Raw genomic sequence first — 16,704 nt, forward strand, 5'->3', positions numbered from 1 at the left:
AAAACCTGGAAGCATTTCTTTTGAAAACTGGCACAAGACAATAGGAAGAGAGGAATTCAAATTGTCTCTGTTTGAAGATGACATGATTGTATATTTAGAAAACCCCATCATCTCAGCCGAAAATCTCCTTAAGCTGATAAGAAACTTCAGCAAAGTCTCAGGATACAGAATCAATGTGCAAAAATCACAAGCATTTCTATACACCAATAATAGACAAACAGAGAGCCAAATCATGAGTAAACTGCCATTCAGAATTGCTACAAACAGCATAAAATACTAGGAATACAACTTAGAAGTTACGTGTAGGACCTCTTCAAGCAGAACTACAAAACACTGCTCAAGGAAATAAGAGAGGACCCAAAGAAGTTGAAAAAAAATTTAGGAAGAATCAAGATCATGAAAATGGACATAGTAATCAAAGTAATTTATAGATTCAATGCTGTTTCCATCAAGCTACCATTGACTTTCTTCACAGAATTACCAGAAACTACTTCAAATTTCATATGGAACCAAAAAACGAGTCCATGGAGCCAAGACAATCTCAAGCTAAAAGAACAAAACTGGAGGCACCACGCTACCTGACTTCAAACTATACTACAAACCTACAGTAACCAAAACAGCATGGTACTGGTACCAAAACAGACACATAGGCCAATGGAACATAACAGAGGCCTCAGAAATAACACCACACATCTACAATGATTTGGTCTTCGAAAAACCTGACAAAAACAAGCAATGGGAAAAGGATTTTCTATTTAATTAATGGTGCTGGGAAAACTGGCTAGCTATATGCAGAAAACTGAAACTGGACCCCCTTTTTATACCTTATGCAAAAAATTAACTCAAGATGATTTAAATAGTTAAATATAAATCCTAAAATTATAAAATCCCTAGAAGAAAACCTAGGCAATACCATTCAGGACATAAGAATGTGCAAAGACTTCATGACTAAAACACCAAAAGCAATTGAAACAAAAGCCAAAATTGACAAATGGGATCTAATTAAACTAAAGAGCTTCTGCACAGCAAAACAAACTATCATCAGAGTGAACAGGTAACCTACAGAATGGGAGAAATTTTTTGCAATCTATCCATCTGAAAAAGGTCTAATATCCAGTATCTACAATAATAGTAAACAAATTTACAAGAAAAAAAATAACCTCATCAGAAAGTGGGCAAAGGATATGAACAGACACTTCTCAAAGGAAGACATTTATGCTGCCAACAAACATATGAAAAAAAGCTCACCATCACTGGTCATTAGAGAAATGCAAATCAAAACCACAATGAGATACCATCTCAGACCAGTTAGAATGGTGATCATTCAAAAGTTAGGAAACAACAGATGCTGGAGAGGATGTGAAGAAATAGTAATGCTTTTACACTGTTAGTGGGAGTGTAAATTACTTCAACCATTGTGGAAGACAGTGTGGCGATTCCTCAAGGATCTAGAACCAGAAATACCATATGACCCAGCAATCTCATTACTGTGTATATACCCAAAGGATTATAAATCGTTCTACTATAATGAAATATGTGCACGTATGTCTATTGCAGCACTGTGTACAATAGCAAAGACTTGGAACCAACCCAAATGCCCATCTATGATAGACTGGATAAAGAAAATGTGGCACATGTAAACCATGGAATACTGTGCAACCATCAAAAAGAATGAGTTCATGTCTTTTGCCTGGACATGGATGAAGCTGGAAGTCATTATTCTCAACAAAGTAAAACAGGAACAGAAAGCCAAACACTGCTCAGTCTCACTCATTAGTGGGAGTTGAACAATGAGAACACATGGACACAGGGAGGGAAACATCACACACTAGTGCCTGTTGGGAGGTGGGGGCAAGGGGAGGGAGAGCATTAGGACAAATACCTAATGCATGCGTGGCTTAAAACCTAGATGATGGGTTGATAGGTGTAGCAAACCACCATAGCACATGTTTACCTATGTAACAAACCTGCACGTTCTGCACATGTATCCCAGAACTTAAAGTGAATTAATTAAAAAATAAATAAATAAATAAAAATAAAATGGCGGTGCTTGTCCAAGGTCATGATGCTCCTGCTCTGTCAGTACCATTCTGTACATAGGCCATGGCAAAGATTTCATGATGAAGACACCAAAAGCAATTGTAACAAAAAAATTAAGAAATATGATCCAATTAAACTAAAGAGCTTCTGCACAGCAAAGAAGCTATCAATAGATAGACAACCTACAGAATTGAAGAAAATATTTGCAATGTGTGCATTCACAAGGGTCTAATATCCAGAATCTTTAAGGAACTTTGTCAGTTTCACAAACAAAAAAAAAAACAAAAAACCCTATTTAAAAGTTTGCAAATGACGTGGACAGACACATTTTAAAAGGAAACATAAATGCAGCCAACAAGCATATGAAAAATTGCTCAATATTACTAATTATTAGAGAAATGCAAATCAAAAGCACAATGAGATATCATCTCATACCAGCCAGAATGGCTATTATTAAGAAGTCAAAATGAACAGTTGCTGGCTAGGTTGTGAAAAAAAAGGCAACACTTATATACTGCTGATGGGAGTTTACATTAGTTGAGCCATTGTGGCATGCAGTTTGGCAATTTCTCAAAGAACTTAAAACAGAATTGCCATTTGCCCCAGAGATTCCATTACTGTGTTTGTACCCAAAGGAATGTAAATCAGTCTACTCTAAAGACACATGCACACATATGTTCATCACAGTACTATTCACAATAGCAAAGACATATAATCAATCTAGATGCCCATCAATGGTAGACTGAATAAAGAAAATAAAGAAAATGGAATTTTATGCGGCCATAAAAAAAGAATGAGATCATGTATTTTTCATCAACATGGATGGAGTTGGGTACTATTATCCTAAGCAAACTAACGCAGGAACAGAAAAGCAAATACCACGTGTTCTAACTTACATGTGAAAACTAAACATTTAGTACATATGGACACAAAGAAGATAACAGACACTGGGGTCTATTTGAGGTTGGAGGGTGGGAGGGGGTGAGGATCGAAAAACTACTTAATTGGGTACTATACTCATCATCTGAGTACACCAAACCCCAGTTGCACGCAATTTACCTACATAACAAACCTACACATGTACCTTTGATCCTGAAATAAAAGTTAAGAAAATTATACATATATGAAGAAAACAGTCTTATGGTTGTGGAATCAACGTTACACTTGGAGAAGTTATTTTTATTGGTGAGATACTTATCTTTTCCTGATGGAAATAAAGGTAGTAAAGATGAATATATTTTTATAGTTACAGGTTTGGTTGTTTGTTATCTGTCTTCCCAAATAGAATATGTAAGGTACTTATCCCTATTGTTCATTGTTGAGTCCTTGGTGTCTGGATCATACCTAATATATAGTAAATGCAGTCAAGTAAATGGTTCAAGGAATATTTATAGATAAGTTGGAAATTAGGAAATAATTTGGGGAAGTTTTTACCTGATGCCCTTTTTTATGTTGGCAAAGTAGAAAAGAGGCATTCTATGGGTAAATGAGGGTGGTGTGTGGGATAATTTTAAATTCAACTCTGAGAAGAATTGAAATAGGAAGTAAATGGACTGCCCAGCATATTTGGAATTCCAGGTGAGGTTGAACTTGTTCAGTTTTGAACTCCTATTGATATTATATATGTAAAGCACACAACACATTAACATATAGTAAGTATCAGATAAATGTTAGTTGCCTTCCTCTTCCTTTTCCTGACACCATGAGGCATTTTAGAATTTAACTTGTTTGAGGTATGTTATCTTGATATTTCTACATTGTTTATATCTTGATAGCAGAGACCATGTCTTATATTTTTTTTGTTTTCTCAACCCCCTTTCCCCTTTTGACAGAATAATGATTACAATAGCAACATTAGCAAACTCATGTATAGTATACCATGTTATATTTTACAGAGTCCTTTTGAAGATCATCTCATTTGATCTTTAGAGCAACATTGCTGTGGGTTTCACAGCAAGCAGATGGATGAGCAGAACTCCCCATCCTGCTAGATAATAGATCTCAATACTTACCAACTGACTGAATCTGTGAGATATTGCAGAAGGTGGATTTTGTGATGGATGGAATTTGTAAACTAGTAAAAAGGGCAGTCAGAGATTGGTGGATACTAGGACCTTTTAAACAGTAACGTGTAAATTGAGAACAGAAACCTTTGGGAAAGGGATTAGAGAGGGGTTATTAAAGGTATGTATAGTTTGGAACTGTTGAAGTGTACTTGAGATGTAAAAAGTGTTGCACTACAAATCACATCTAAAAAGAGATCTTACTAGAGAAACATGGTATACATGTATACAACATGGTACAGAAAACTACTTCATTAGTAATATGTAAAACTGAAAGTCTAAGGAGTATAATCCTGAACTGTAGCCCATCAGCAATAGATTTTGACATAATATTCATTTTTATGTTCTACTTTGTTTTTAATTGACACCTAATAATTATACATATTTATGAGGTACTGAGTGATGTTTTCATACATATATGCATTGTATATATTACTTTCTTCATTTATATAGAAAATGTCTCAATTAAGCTTAATGAAATCTACATAGACTTTTTCTCAGGTTTTGAAGACCTTCAATTTTGTCCAGATCTCCATGCTCTTCACTGTACTAAGATTTTTTTTCTAGTTTCAGCTAGTTTCTCAACAGCTGTAAAGCATAACTAGGACAATCACAATATGTTTTAAACTTCAAAGGTTTTTTAGTGGTTCCATCATGCAACAATGGATATGGACGGTATACAATCTGTTCACCTATTTCTTCACTTGTATAAATAGTGACTAACCGTACAGCTTGTTTGTGTATCTTCAAATCTGCCTTTAAGACAAGATCAAAATAGCCAACAAATAATGACTAGAGGAAAGCAAAAAGAATGGAACTTGTATGTGGTCCTGACAGATAGCTGTGATTTTTGATATTGTTCTTGCAGCTTTCTTCAAAATATTAGTTTTTGCTTTAGTAAGCAGGCTAGGGAAAACTGAAAGTGCATCTACAACCTGATTCTGTTGGTCTGTTCTAGTGACAGTATTTCCTATGTCTCTTTAGACTAGTTGCATAGTTGGTAATTCAGTAGCTCCTAAAACCTTTATGAGCTATGGCAAAACTCTTGTTTTTAAAACAATTTAAGTTGGTTCATTTGCACCATCAGTGAGGTAGGAAATAGTCTCCAAATATCCATAAATACCTCAAGATCAATATGATGCAGAAGATAAACTAAAGTAGAGAGAATTTGCTTAGCAGCATCTAATAGTAGAGTTGGATTTTTTATGACAACAGAAGTTGGAAAGTAAAATTATATAAATAACCACACAACAAAGATGACATATCAGGAACTTCAAGCAGAATTAATAAAGTATCTATTGCACCATTCTTGATAACCAAATCTTGAAAGATTTCCTAAAGCTCATATAGCTTATTTACTGATGTGTGAATGGTAAGATGCCAACAGAGCAATGAATGCGCTTCATCTACCACAGCTTGTCTATTGTGATTTCCCAAAATCTATATTAGCAAGTGCACCTAAACAAATTAAAGTTTAACAGTACTACAATCAGAGAAAGGCACGCATTTTGGAATCAAACCAGTCTGGATTATATTGTTTATGGAGAGTTTTCCATAGAAAATAATTTTCTGACACCTTGGGTAGCTTGGAGTTGGAGTACCAAATTATTACTCTTTGTGTCTTTCACAGTGACATCAACAGAACAATTTACAAAGCCCTAGTTGCTATGGTTTTCCTGTGATAGAAAAGTAGCAGGTGCTGGGTGCAGTGGCTCACACCTGTAATCCAGCACTTTGGGAGGCCGAGGTGGGTGGATCACTTGAGGTTAGGAGTTCAAGACCAGCCTGGCCAACATGGTGAAACCCCATCTCTACAAAAAAACACAAAATTAGTCGGGCATGGTGGAGGGCGCCTGTAATCCCAGCTCCTCAGGAGGTAGAGGCAGAAGAATCCCTTGAACCCAGGAGGCCAGAGTTGCAGTGAGCCAAGATCTCACCACTGTACTCCAGCCTGGGCCACAGAGTAAGACTCTGTGTCAAAAAAAAAAAAAAAAGTGTCAGGAAAATAGCTTATATTTCTTTTTTTTTTTTAATTTCAATACGTTTTTGTGGAACAGGTGGTGTTTGGTTACATGAATAAGTTCTTTATTGTTGATTTCTGAGAATTTGGTGCACCCATCACCCAAACAGTGTACACTGTACCCAATGTGTAGCCTTTTACCCCTCACCACCCTCTACCCTTTTTCCCAAGTCCCTGAAGTCCAGTGTATTATTCTTATGCCTTTGCGTCCTCATAGCTTAGCTCCCACATATGAGTGAGAACATAAAATATTTGGTTTTTCATTCCTGAGTTGCTTCACTTGGAATAATAGTCTCCAATTCAATGCAGGTTGCTGCGAATGCCATTATTTCATTCCTTTATATTGCTGAGTAGTATTCCATGGTATATATATACCACATTTTCTTTATCCACTCATTGATTGGTGGGCATTTGGGCTGGTTCCATATTTTTGCACCTGCAAATTGTGCTGCTATAAACGTGTGTGCAAGTATCTTTTTCGTATAATGCCTTCTTTTTCTCTGGGTAGATACCTAGGAGTGGGATTGCTGGATCAAACGGTCAATCTTCTTTTAGTTCTTTAAGGAATCTCCCCACTGTTTTTCAGTTTTTAGCATCCCACCTATCTTTCTTAGCTTTCCTCAGTTTCATATTAACTTCTATGCACTATTGTATCATTTCTCTTCTTTCTCTTTGTTCTTGCACCTGTTAAGGTGGACAGCTGGTGAATTGCCCTTCACATTGGTGGATGTATTTTTAGACCACTGGGAAAAAGTTAGAAGATAGTGTGGATCTGGCTCAGGTTCTATGGGTAAAAGGGTCAAGGCTCACAGGCCTCAGGTCAGCACTTTCTGGATGGCTGAAAACAATTATGCTTTAAAATTCTAAACTATAAAGGCTTTCAGAGCTAATGTTTTGATTTTCTAATGATGTACAGAAAATGGTAAGAGACTCTACCATGATAGGAAAATACATTTCTAATTCAGAGGAGATTACCAAAGAGAGAAAAATATCTACCAAATGGAAAAAGTGATTTGGACAGTATTTAGTCAAGTCTATGGTAGAATGACTTTATAATTATTAATGGCAAAAACCGCAATTACTTTTGCACCAGCCCAACCTAAATATTTTTATTGATTTTACTTTTTTTTTTTTTTTACTTTTTTCTGGTACGTAGTAGGTATACATATATGGAGCACATGAGATGTTTTGATACAGGTATACAATGCATAATAATCACATTAGAATACATGGGGTATCTGTGATCTCAAGCATTCATTCATTCTTTGTGTTATAAACCATCTAATTATATTTTTAGTTATTTTAAAATATAAACTGTTGTTGACTGTAGCCACCTTGTTGTGCTATCCAATACTAGATGTTACTCATTTTATCTAATTATAATTTTGCATGCATTAATCATCCCTAACCTTACCCTCCAACCACTATCTTTCTCAGCCTTTGGTAACCATCATTCTACTCTTGATCTACATGAGTTCAATTGTTTTAATTTTTAGCACTCAGTAATATGTGAGAACATGCATAGTTTGTCTTTTGGTACCTGGCTTTTTTCACTTAACATAATGACCTCCAATTCCAGCCATATTGTTGCAGATGATAAGATCTCATTCATTTTTATGGCTGAATATTATTCCATTGTGTATATGAAACACATTTTTAAAAATCTATTCATCTGTTGATGGACACTTAGGTTGCTTCCACATTTTGGCTATTGTGAATAGTGTTGCAATAAACACAGGAGTGCAGCTATCTTTTCAATATACTGATTTCCTTTCTTTGGTCTATATACCTAGCAGTGACATTGCTGGATCATGTGGTTGCTCTATTTTTTTTTTTTTTTTTTTTGAGAAGCCTTCAAACTATTATTCATAGCGGTTTTACTAATTTACATTCTCACTAACAGTGTACAACGTTTCCCTTTCCTCCATATTGTTGCTGGTATTTGTTATTGCCTGTCTTTTGAATATAGGCCATTTTAACTGGGGTGAGATTATGTCTTATTACAGTTTGGATTTGCATTTCTTTGATGATCAATGATATTCAGCACCTTTTCATATGCCTGTTTGCCATTTGCATGTCTTCTTGTGAGAAATGTCAGTTACATTTATTCTTAGGTATCTTATTTTATTTGTAGCTATGGTAAATGAAATTATTTCTTGGTTTCTTTTTTAGATTGTTGTTGGCATGTAGAAATACTACTGATTTTTGTATATTGATTTCATATGCTGCAGTGTTGCTGAATTTTTATATTAGTTCTAAAGTCTTTAAGTTTTTTTTTTTTATTTAAGTTTTAGGGTACATGTGCACATTGTGCAGGTTAGATACATATGTATACCTGTGCCATGCTGGTGCACTGCACCCACTAACTCGTCATCTAACATTAGGTATATCTCCCAATGCTATCCCTCCCCCCTCCCCCCACCCCACCACAGTCCCCAGAGTGTGATATTCCCCTTCCTGTGTCCATGTGATCTCATTGTTCAATTCTCACCTATGAGTGAGAATATGCGGTGTTTGGTTTTTTGTTCTTGCGATAGTTTACTGAGAATGATGATTTCCAATTTCATCCATGTCCCTACAAAGGACATGAACTCATCATTTTTTATGACTGCATAGTATTCCATGGTGTATATGTGCCACATTTTCTTAATCCAGTCTATCATTGTTGGACATGTGGGTTGGTTCCAAGTCTTTGCTATTGTGAATAATGCCGCAATAAACATACGTGTGCATGTGTCTTTATAGCAGCATGATTTATAGTCGTTTGGGTATATACCCAGTAATGGAATGGCTGGGTCAAATGGTATTTCTAGTTCTAGATCCCTGAGGAATTGCCACACTGACTTCCACAATGGTTGAACTAGTTTACAGTCCCACCAACAGTGTAAAAGTGTTCCTATTTCTCCACATCCTCTCCAGCACCTGTTGTTTCCTGACTTTTTAATGATTGCCATTCTAAATGGTGTGAGATGGTATCTCATAGTGGTTTTGATTTGCATTTCTCTGATGACCAGTGATGATGAGCATTTTTTCATGTGTTTTTTGGCTGCATAAATGTCTTCTTTTGAGAAGTGTCTGTTCATGTCCTTCGCCCACTTTTTGATGGGGTTGTTTGTTTTTTTCTTGTAAATTTGTTTGAGTTCATTGTAGATTCTGGATATTAGCCCTTTGTCAGATGAGTAGGTTGCGAAAATTTTCTCCCATTTTGTAAGTTGCCTGTTCACTCTGATGGTAGTTGCTTTTGCTATGCAGAAGCTCTTTTGTTTAATTAGATCCCATTTGTCAATTTTGCCTTCTGTTGCCATTGCTTTTGGTGTTTTGGACATGAAGTCCTTGCCCATGCCTATGTCCTGAATGGTAATGCCTAGATTTTCTTCTAGGGTTTTTATGGTTTTAGGTCTAACGTTTAAATCTTTAATCCATCTTGAATTGATTTTTGTATAAGGTGTAAGGAAGGGATCCAGTTTCAGCTTCCTACATATGGCTATCCAGTTTCCCCAGCACCATTTATTAAATAGGGAATCCTTTCCCCATTGCTTGTTTTTCTCAGGTTTGTCAAAGATCAGATAGTTGTGGGTATGCGGCATTATTTCTGAGGGCTGTGTTCTGTTCCATTGATCTATATCTCTGTTTTGGTACCAGTACCATGCTGTTTTGGTTACTGTAGCCTTGTAGTATAGTTTGAAGTCAGGTAGTGTGATGCCTCCAGCTTTGTTCTTTTGGCTTAGGATTGACTTGGCAATGCGGGCTCTTTTTTGGTTCCATATGAACTTTAAAGTATTTTTTTCTAATTCTGTGAAGAAAGTCATTGGTAGCTTGATGGGGATGGCATTGAATCTGTAAATTACCTTGGGCAGTATGGCCATTTTCACGATATTGATTCTTCTTACCCATGAGCATGGAATGTTCTTCCATTTGTTTGTATCCTCTTTTATTTCCTTGAGGAGTGTTTTGTAGTTCTCCTTGAAGAGGTCCTTCACATCCCTTGTAAGTTGGATTCCTAGGTATTTTATTCTCTTTGAAGCAATTGTGAATGGGAGTTCACTCATGATTTGGCTCTCTGTTTGTCTGTTGTTGGTGTATAAGAATGCTTGTGATTTTTGTACATTGATTTTGTATCCTGAGACTTTGCTGAAGTTGCTTATCATCTTCAGGAGATTTTGGGCTGAGACAATGGGGTTTTCTAGATATACAATCATGTCATCTGCAAACAGGGACAATTTGACTTCCTCTTTTCCTAATTGAATACCCTTTATTTCCTTCTCCTGCCTAATTGCCCTGGCCAGAACTTCCAACACTATGTTGAATAGGAGTGGTGAGAGAGGGCACCCCTGTCTTGTGCCAGTTTTCAAAGGGAATGCTTCCAGTTTTTTCCCATTCAGTATGATATTGGCTGTGGGTTTGTCATAGATAGCTCTTATTATTTTGAAATATGTCCCATCAATACCTAATTTATTGAGAGTTTTTAGCATGAAGGGTTGTTGAATTTTGTCAAAGGCTTTTTCTGCATCTATTGAGATAATCATGTGGTTTTTGTCTTTGGCTCTGTTTATATGCTGGACTACATTTATTGATTTGCGTATATTGAACCAGCCTTGCATCCCAGGGATGAAGCCCACTTGATCATGGTGGATAAGCTTTTTGATGTGCTGCTGGATTCGGTTTGCCAGTATTTTATTGAGGATTTTTGCATCAATGTTCATCAAGGATATTGGTCTAAAATTCTCTTTTTTGGTTGTGTCTCTGCCCGGCTTTGGTATCAGAATGATGCTGGCCTCATAAAATGAGTTAGGGAGGATTCCCTCTTTTTCTATTGATTGGAATAGTTTCAGAAGGAATGGTACCAGTTCTTCCTTGTACCTCTGGTAGAATTCGGCTGTGAATCCATCTGGTCCTGGACTCTTTTTGGTTGGTAAACTATTGATTATTGCCAGAATTTCAGCTCCTGTTATTGGTCTATTCAGAGATTCAACTTCTTCCTGGTTTAGTCTTGGGAGAGTGTATGTGTCGAGTAATTTATCCATTTCTTCTAGATTTTCTAGTTTATTTGCATAGAGGTGTTTGTAGTATTCTCTGATGGTAGTTTGTATTTCTGTGGGATCAGTGGTGATATCCCCTTTATAATTTTTTTTTTGTGTCTATTTGATTCTTCTCTCTTTTTTTCTTTATTAGTCTTGCTAGCGGTCTATCAATTTTGTTGATCCTTTCAAAAAACCAGCTCCTGGATTCATTGGTTTTTTGAAGGGTTTTTTATGTCTCTATTTCCTTCAGTTCTGCTCTGATTTTAGTTATTTCTTGCCTTCTGCTAGCTTTTGAATGTGTTTGCTCTTGCTTTTCTAGTTCTTTTAATTGTGATGTTAGGGTGTCAATTTTGGATCTTTCCTGCTTTCTCTTGTGGGCATTTAGTGCTATAAATTTCCCTCTACACACTGCCTTGAATGCGTCCCAGAGATTCTGGTATGTTGTGTCTTTGTTCTCGTTGGTTTCAAAGAACATCTTTATTTCTGCCTTCATTTCATTATGTACCCAGTAGTCATTGAGGAGCAGGTTGTTCAGTTTCCATGTAGTTGAGCGGCTTTGAGTGAGATTCTTAATCCTGAGTTCTAGTTTGATTACACTGTGGTCTGAGAGATAGTTTGTTATAATTTCTGTTCTTTTACATTTGCTGAGGAGAGCTTTACTTCCAACTATGTGGTCAATTTTGGAATAGGTGTGGTGTGGTGCTGAAAAAAATGTATATTTTGTTGATTTGGGGTGGATCAAACAAGGATAATTTGACTTCTTCCATTCCAATTTGGATACCCTTTTTTTCTTTTTGTTGTCTGATTGCTCTAATTGGGACATTCAGTACCATTTTGAATAACAGTGGTGTTAAGTGGGAATCTTTGTCATGTTTTAGATCTTAGATAAAAGGCTTGCAGTTTTTCCTCAGTATGATAGTAGCTGTGGGTCAGTGGTATATGGCTTTTATTTTATTGAGGTATGTTTATTCTGTACCCAGTTTTTTGGTAGGTTTATTTAGGAGGATGTTGAATATTATCAAATGCTTTATCAGCATCAGTTGAATTTATCATATGATTTTTGTCCTTCATTCTTTTGATACGATGGATTACATTGGCTGACTTGCATATGTTGAACTATTCCTCCCTCCCTAGGATAAATCCCACTTGGTCATGATGAATGATATTTTTATGTTGTTTAATTTGTTTTGCTAATATTTTATTGGGGATTTTCCCAGATAGATAGATAGATAGATAGATAGATAGATAGATTGTTTTTGAGATGGAGTCTCGCTCTATTGCTGGGCTGGAGTGCAGTGGCACAATCTCGACTAGTTTCAAGCGATTTTCCTGCCTCAGCCTCCTGAGTAGTTGGGACTACAGGTGCGTGCCACCACCCCCAGCTAATTTTTGTATTTTTAGTAGAGACAAGGTTTCACCATGTTGGCCAGGATGGTGTCGAGCTCTTGACCTCGTGATCCACTCGCCTCAGCCTCCCAATGTGCTGGGATTATAGTTGTGAGCCACCACCCCTAGCCTTTTGCATCAATATTAATCAGTGATATTGGCCTGAAGGTTTTTTTTTTTTTTTCTTTTAATGTGTCTTTATCTGGTTTTGTTATCAGGGTAGTTCTGGCCTCATAGAATGAGTATGGAAGTCTTCCTTCCTCCTCAATTTTTTGGAATAGTTTAAGGAGGGTTGACATTAGTTCTTTAAATGTTTGGTGAGATTCAGCAGTGAAGCCAATTTGCTGGAAGATGTTTTATCTTGTCTTCGATCTCATTACTTGTTAGTCTGTTCAGTTTTGAATTTTTTCATGGTTCAATCTTAGTTGGTTGTATGTGTCTAGGAATTTATCCCTTGCTTCTAAATTTTCCAATTTATTGGCACATAGTTGCTCATTGTAGCCTCTAATAATCCTTTTACTTTCTGAAGTATTGGTTGTAATGTTTCCTTTTTATCTCTAATTTTATTTATTTGGGTTTTCTCTCTTTTTTCTTATTCTAGCTAAAGGTATGTCAATTTTGTCTTTTCAGAAAACCAACTTTTCCTGTCATCGATCTTTTGTGTTGTTGATTTTTTTATCTTAATTTCATTTATTTCTGCTCTGATTTTTATTATTTCTTCTACTAATTTGTGGTTTCAATTGTTCTTGCTTTTCTAGTTTTTTAAGATGAATCATTAAGTGGTTTATTTGAAATTTTTCTACTTTTTGGTGTAGGAATTTTTACCTATAAGTTTTCCTCTTAGTGTTGCTTTCTCTATATCTCATTGTATTAGTCTGTTCTCACATTGCTGTAGATAAATACCTGAGAATGGGAAATTTATAAAGAAAAGAAGTTTAATTGGCTCATGGCTCCACAGGGTGTACAAGAACCATAGTGGCTTCTGCTTCTGAGGCAGCCTCAGGGAGCTTTCAATCATGGCAGAAGGCAAATGGGGAGCCAACACTTCATGTGGCTGGAGCAAGAGGAAGAAGGGTGGAGTTGTCACATACTTTTAAACAACCAGATATCACGAGAGCAGTGGCACGGGGGTAATGCAGCCCCATGATCCTATCAACTCCCACCAGGCCCCAACCTCCAACACTGGGAATTACAATTTGACATGAGATTTGGGCAGAGACAGAGATCCAAATCATATCACCCATGGATTTTGATGTGTCACATTTCCCTTATAATTTGTTTCAAAAAATTTAATTATCTTCTTTGGGGTGGGGGGAGGGGGGAGGGATAGCATTAGGAGATATACCTAATGCTAAGTGATGAGTTAATGGGTGCAGCACTCCAGCATGGCACATGTATACATATGTAACTAACCTGCACATTGTGCACATGTACCCTAAAACTTAAAGTATAATAATAATAAAATAAAAAAATAAAAATTTATTTATTGACTCACTGATCATTCAGGGAAATATTTTGCTTAATTTCTGTGTCTGCATAGTTTCCAAACTCTTCTAGTAATTGATTTCTAGTTTTATTCCTTTGTGGTCACATAAGATAGTTGATGTAATTTTAAATTTTGTGAATGTTTTAAGACTTGGTTTTGACCTAATATATGGTCTATCCTTAAGAATTATCCATGTGCTGAGGACAATCATGTCTATTCTGCAGCCTTTGAATGAAATGTTCTGTAAATATTTGTTAGGTCTTTTTAGTCGATAGTGCAGATTAACTACAATGTTCGTTGATTTTCTGTCTGAATGATCTGTCCAGTGCTGAACTTCGGTTGTTGAAGTCTCCAGTTATTATTGTATTGTTGCCTGTCACTTTAGCCCTAATAATTTATTGCTTTATATATCTGGGTACTCCAGTGTTGGATGCATATATATTTAAAATTGTGATATCTTCTTCCTCAACGAATCCTTCATCATTATATAGTGACCGTCTTTATCTTTTTTGTAGTTTTTGTCTTGAAATTTATTTTATCTTCAATAATTGTAGCTACTCTTGCTCTTTTTTTGTTTCTATTTGTATGGAATATCTTTTTCCTTTATTTTCAGTCTAGTGTGCCTTTAAAGATGCAGTGTATTTGTTGTAGTGAACAGATCATTGGGTCTTTTTTTTTTTAATGCATTCAGCCACTCTGTCTTTTTAATGGAGAGTTTAATCAAGTTCCATTTGATGTTATTATTGATGAGTAAGGGTTTACTTCTGCTATTTTGTTATTTGTTTTCTGGTTGATTTGTGGTCTTCTTTCTTTTCTTTCTTCCTACCTGTCTCCTTTTCAGTGGAGGTGATTTTCTGTGGTGTTATGCTTTAATTTCTTACTTTTTACATTTTGCATATCTTTGTGGGTTTTTTGATTTGAGGTAACCATGAAGCTTGCAAATACCTGTAACCCATTATTTTAAATTGATGACAAATTGGCACTGATTGTATAAACCAACAAACAAGCGAAGAGAACACTAATAAAAACTCTACACTTTAACTTCATACCCTGCTTTTTAACTTTTTGTTGTTTCTATGTATATCTTATTGTACTATCTATGTATATCTTATTGTACTATCTATGTCTTGAAAAGATATTGTATTTTGTTAGGATTCCATCAGGCTGGTGGAAAAAATATTAAAGATAGTTATAGTAATAGTCAAAAGCTCTCTTGGAATGCCTGAGAGTTTGCATAGCTTCAGATTGCTTGGCTGAAAGCAGCCAGGGTCTGTTTGCAGGAGCCAGAAAGATTAGGTTGCAAGTACAAAGGAATGTGGGAAGTCTACCTTACTAACATGTTTACTTATATGGGCTTAAGACTAACACCTTTGTCCTACTGAGTTACTTTACTGCCTCCTACTCAGGGAGTTGGCAGAAGTTTATTGCCCCCAAATGCTGTTTGCTTTAGGCCTGGAACCTGGCCTTTAATCTTTACTCTCTAGTGGTGTTTACTCACAACTTTTGTTAATTAGTCTTACTGAATAAATGCAAGCCTCACTTTTTGATGAGGGCCAAGTCGAACTGTTTACAGAACTCAGCTTGGAGCCTGTAAGTGGCTCAGACCCTCAGCTAGACTGGCAGAGCAGAATATCTGTGTGTCAGCGGACTTTACTCATCCGTCGCTGAATCAAGGGCCTGCAGGAACAGCCCCTTCCCCCCACCCCCCGCAGCTAGTGCCCCCTCGAAAGGTGCGCTGCCTCAGCTGGTGCCCCATGTGAGGACAGCCAGGGGTCTGCAGAAACAGTCCCCCTGCAGTTGGAGCCCCTCGTGAGGCAAGCTGGGAAGGAAGTGTGAGGACCGCCCTCATGAGGAAAGCTATGAAGGAAGCGTGAAGGAAATGCGACTCCCCAAAAAATGAGGGTGAAAAAAGGAACTGCGGGGTCAAGTCAGTGAGTAATCAGTAAGTCATTGGTGCCCACTCGAGGTTACCAAATTCCGGGGGGGATTTTGGGTCAAGCTGAGGTTTTATCATGGGACAACAGTTATTAGCGCAACAGAAACAGTATATAAAAGTGTTGAAGCAGTTGCTTAAGGCTAGCAGAGCATCAGTTTCACAGGCTCAATTATAATGCCAGCTGTTGTAACCCAAAGCCCATGGTTCCCAGAAGAAGGACCACCAGACGTAGAACTCTGGGACCAATGGGGAGAAATCTTAAACAACATCAGGCACAAAGGCAACAGGTCCCAGTAACAGCTTTAATGTTATGGGCTTTAATTGGAGCAGCCCTAGCTCCGTTACACACACAAGAGCCTAAAAAGGGAGATGAGGAGAAAATGTCACCTGCCATATCACCTCCTCTTCCCTCAGCCCTAATATCACCAGGCCAAAATAACAAAGAGGAAACGGAGGTTTTACCGGAGCCTCCTCCTCCAATAGACAGGAAAAAAGACAGAGGATATGCTACAACTATCAGTCCCTGTCTTAAGCAGGCTGAATTAAAAGGATAGCTCTTAGCCTGCCCAGTAATGCAAGAATGGCAAAGCGATCAGGTACCTAAAGGGTTAAGAAAAGGCATTAGAAGCCAAAGCCAAGGCAGAGCAAGCAGTAAGTAAAAAAGAAAGGCTTGGCAGCAGGGAATTTCACAGAAATGGAGCCAGCAAGTGCCCCCAGGAACTCCACCCACAGGGCAGCAGCTGCAACAAAGA

General features: G+C 37.0%; 1 protein-coding gene and 1 pseudogene across 14 annotated transcripts in view, besides 1 other annotated feature; one reads left to right on the plus strand and one right to left on the minus strand.

The window, feature by feature from the left end:
* Nucleotides 1-16,704, plus strand: part of ZC3H12B (zinc finger CCCH-type containing 12B) — a 473,062-nt gene that overhangs the window by 145,585 nt on the left and 310,773 nt on the right. The gene's annotated exons all lie outside the window — the stretch shown is intronic.
* On the minus strand, nucleotides 4,541-5,806 carry LOC100533843 (karyopherin subunit alpha 2 pseudogene; annotated as a pseudogene).
* Nucleotides 16,006-16,506: an enhancer, noted in NCBI's record as "H3K27ac hESC enhancer chrX:64416296-64416796 (GRCh37/hg19 assembly coordinates)". NCBI's record gives its function as "activates a minimal SCP1, AML or CMV promoter by ChIP-STARR-seq in primed H9 embryonic stem cells {active_cell/tissue: H9 hESC(primed)}" and the evidence as "EXISTENCE:reporter gene assay evidence [ECO:0000049][PMID:30033119]".

The sequence above is a fragment of the Homo sapiens genome, chromosome X (genome assembly GCF_000001405.40).
Source record: "Homo sapiens chromosome X, GRCh38.p14 Primary Assembly".
Taxonomy (NCBI): Eukaryota; Metazoa; Chordata; class Mammalia; order Primates; family Hominidae; genus Homo; species Homo sapiens.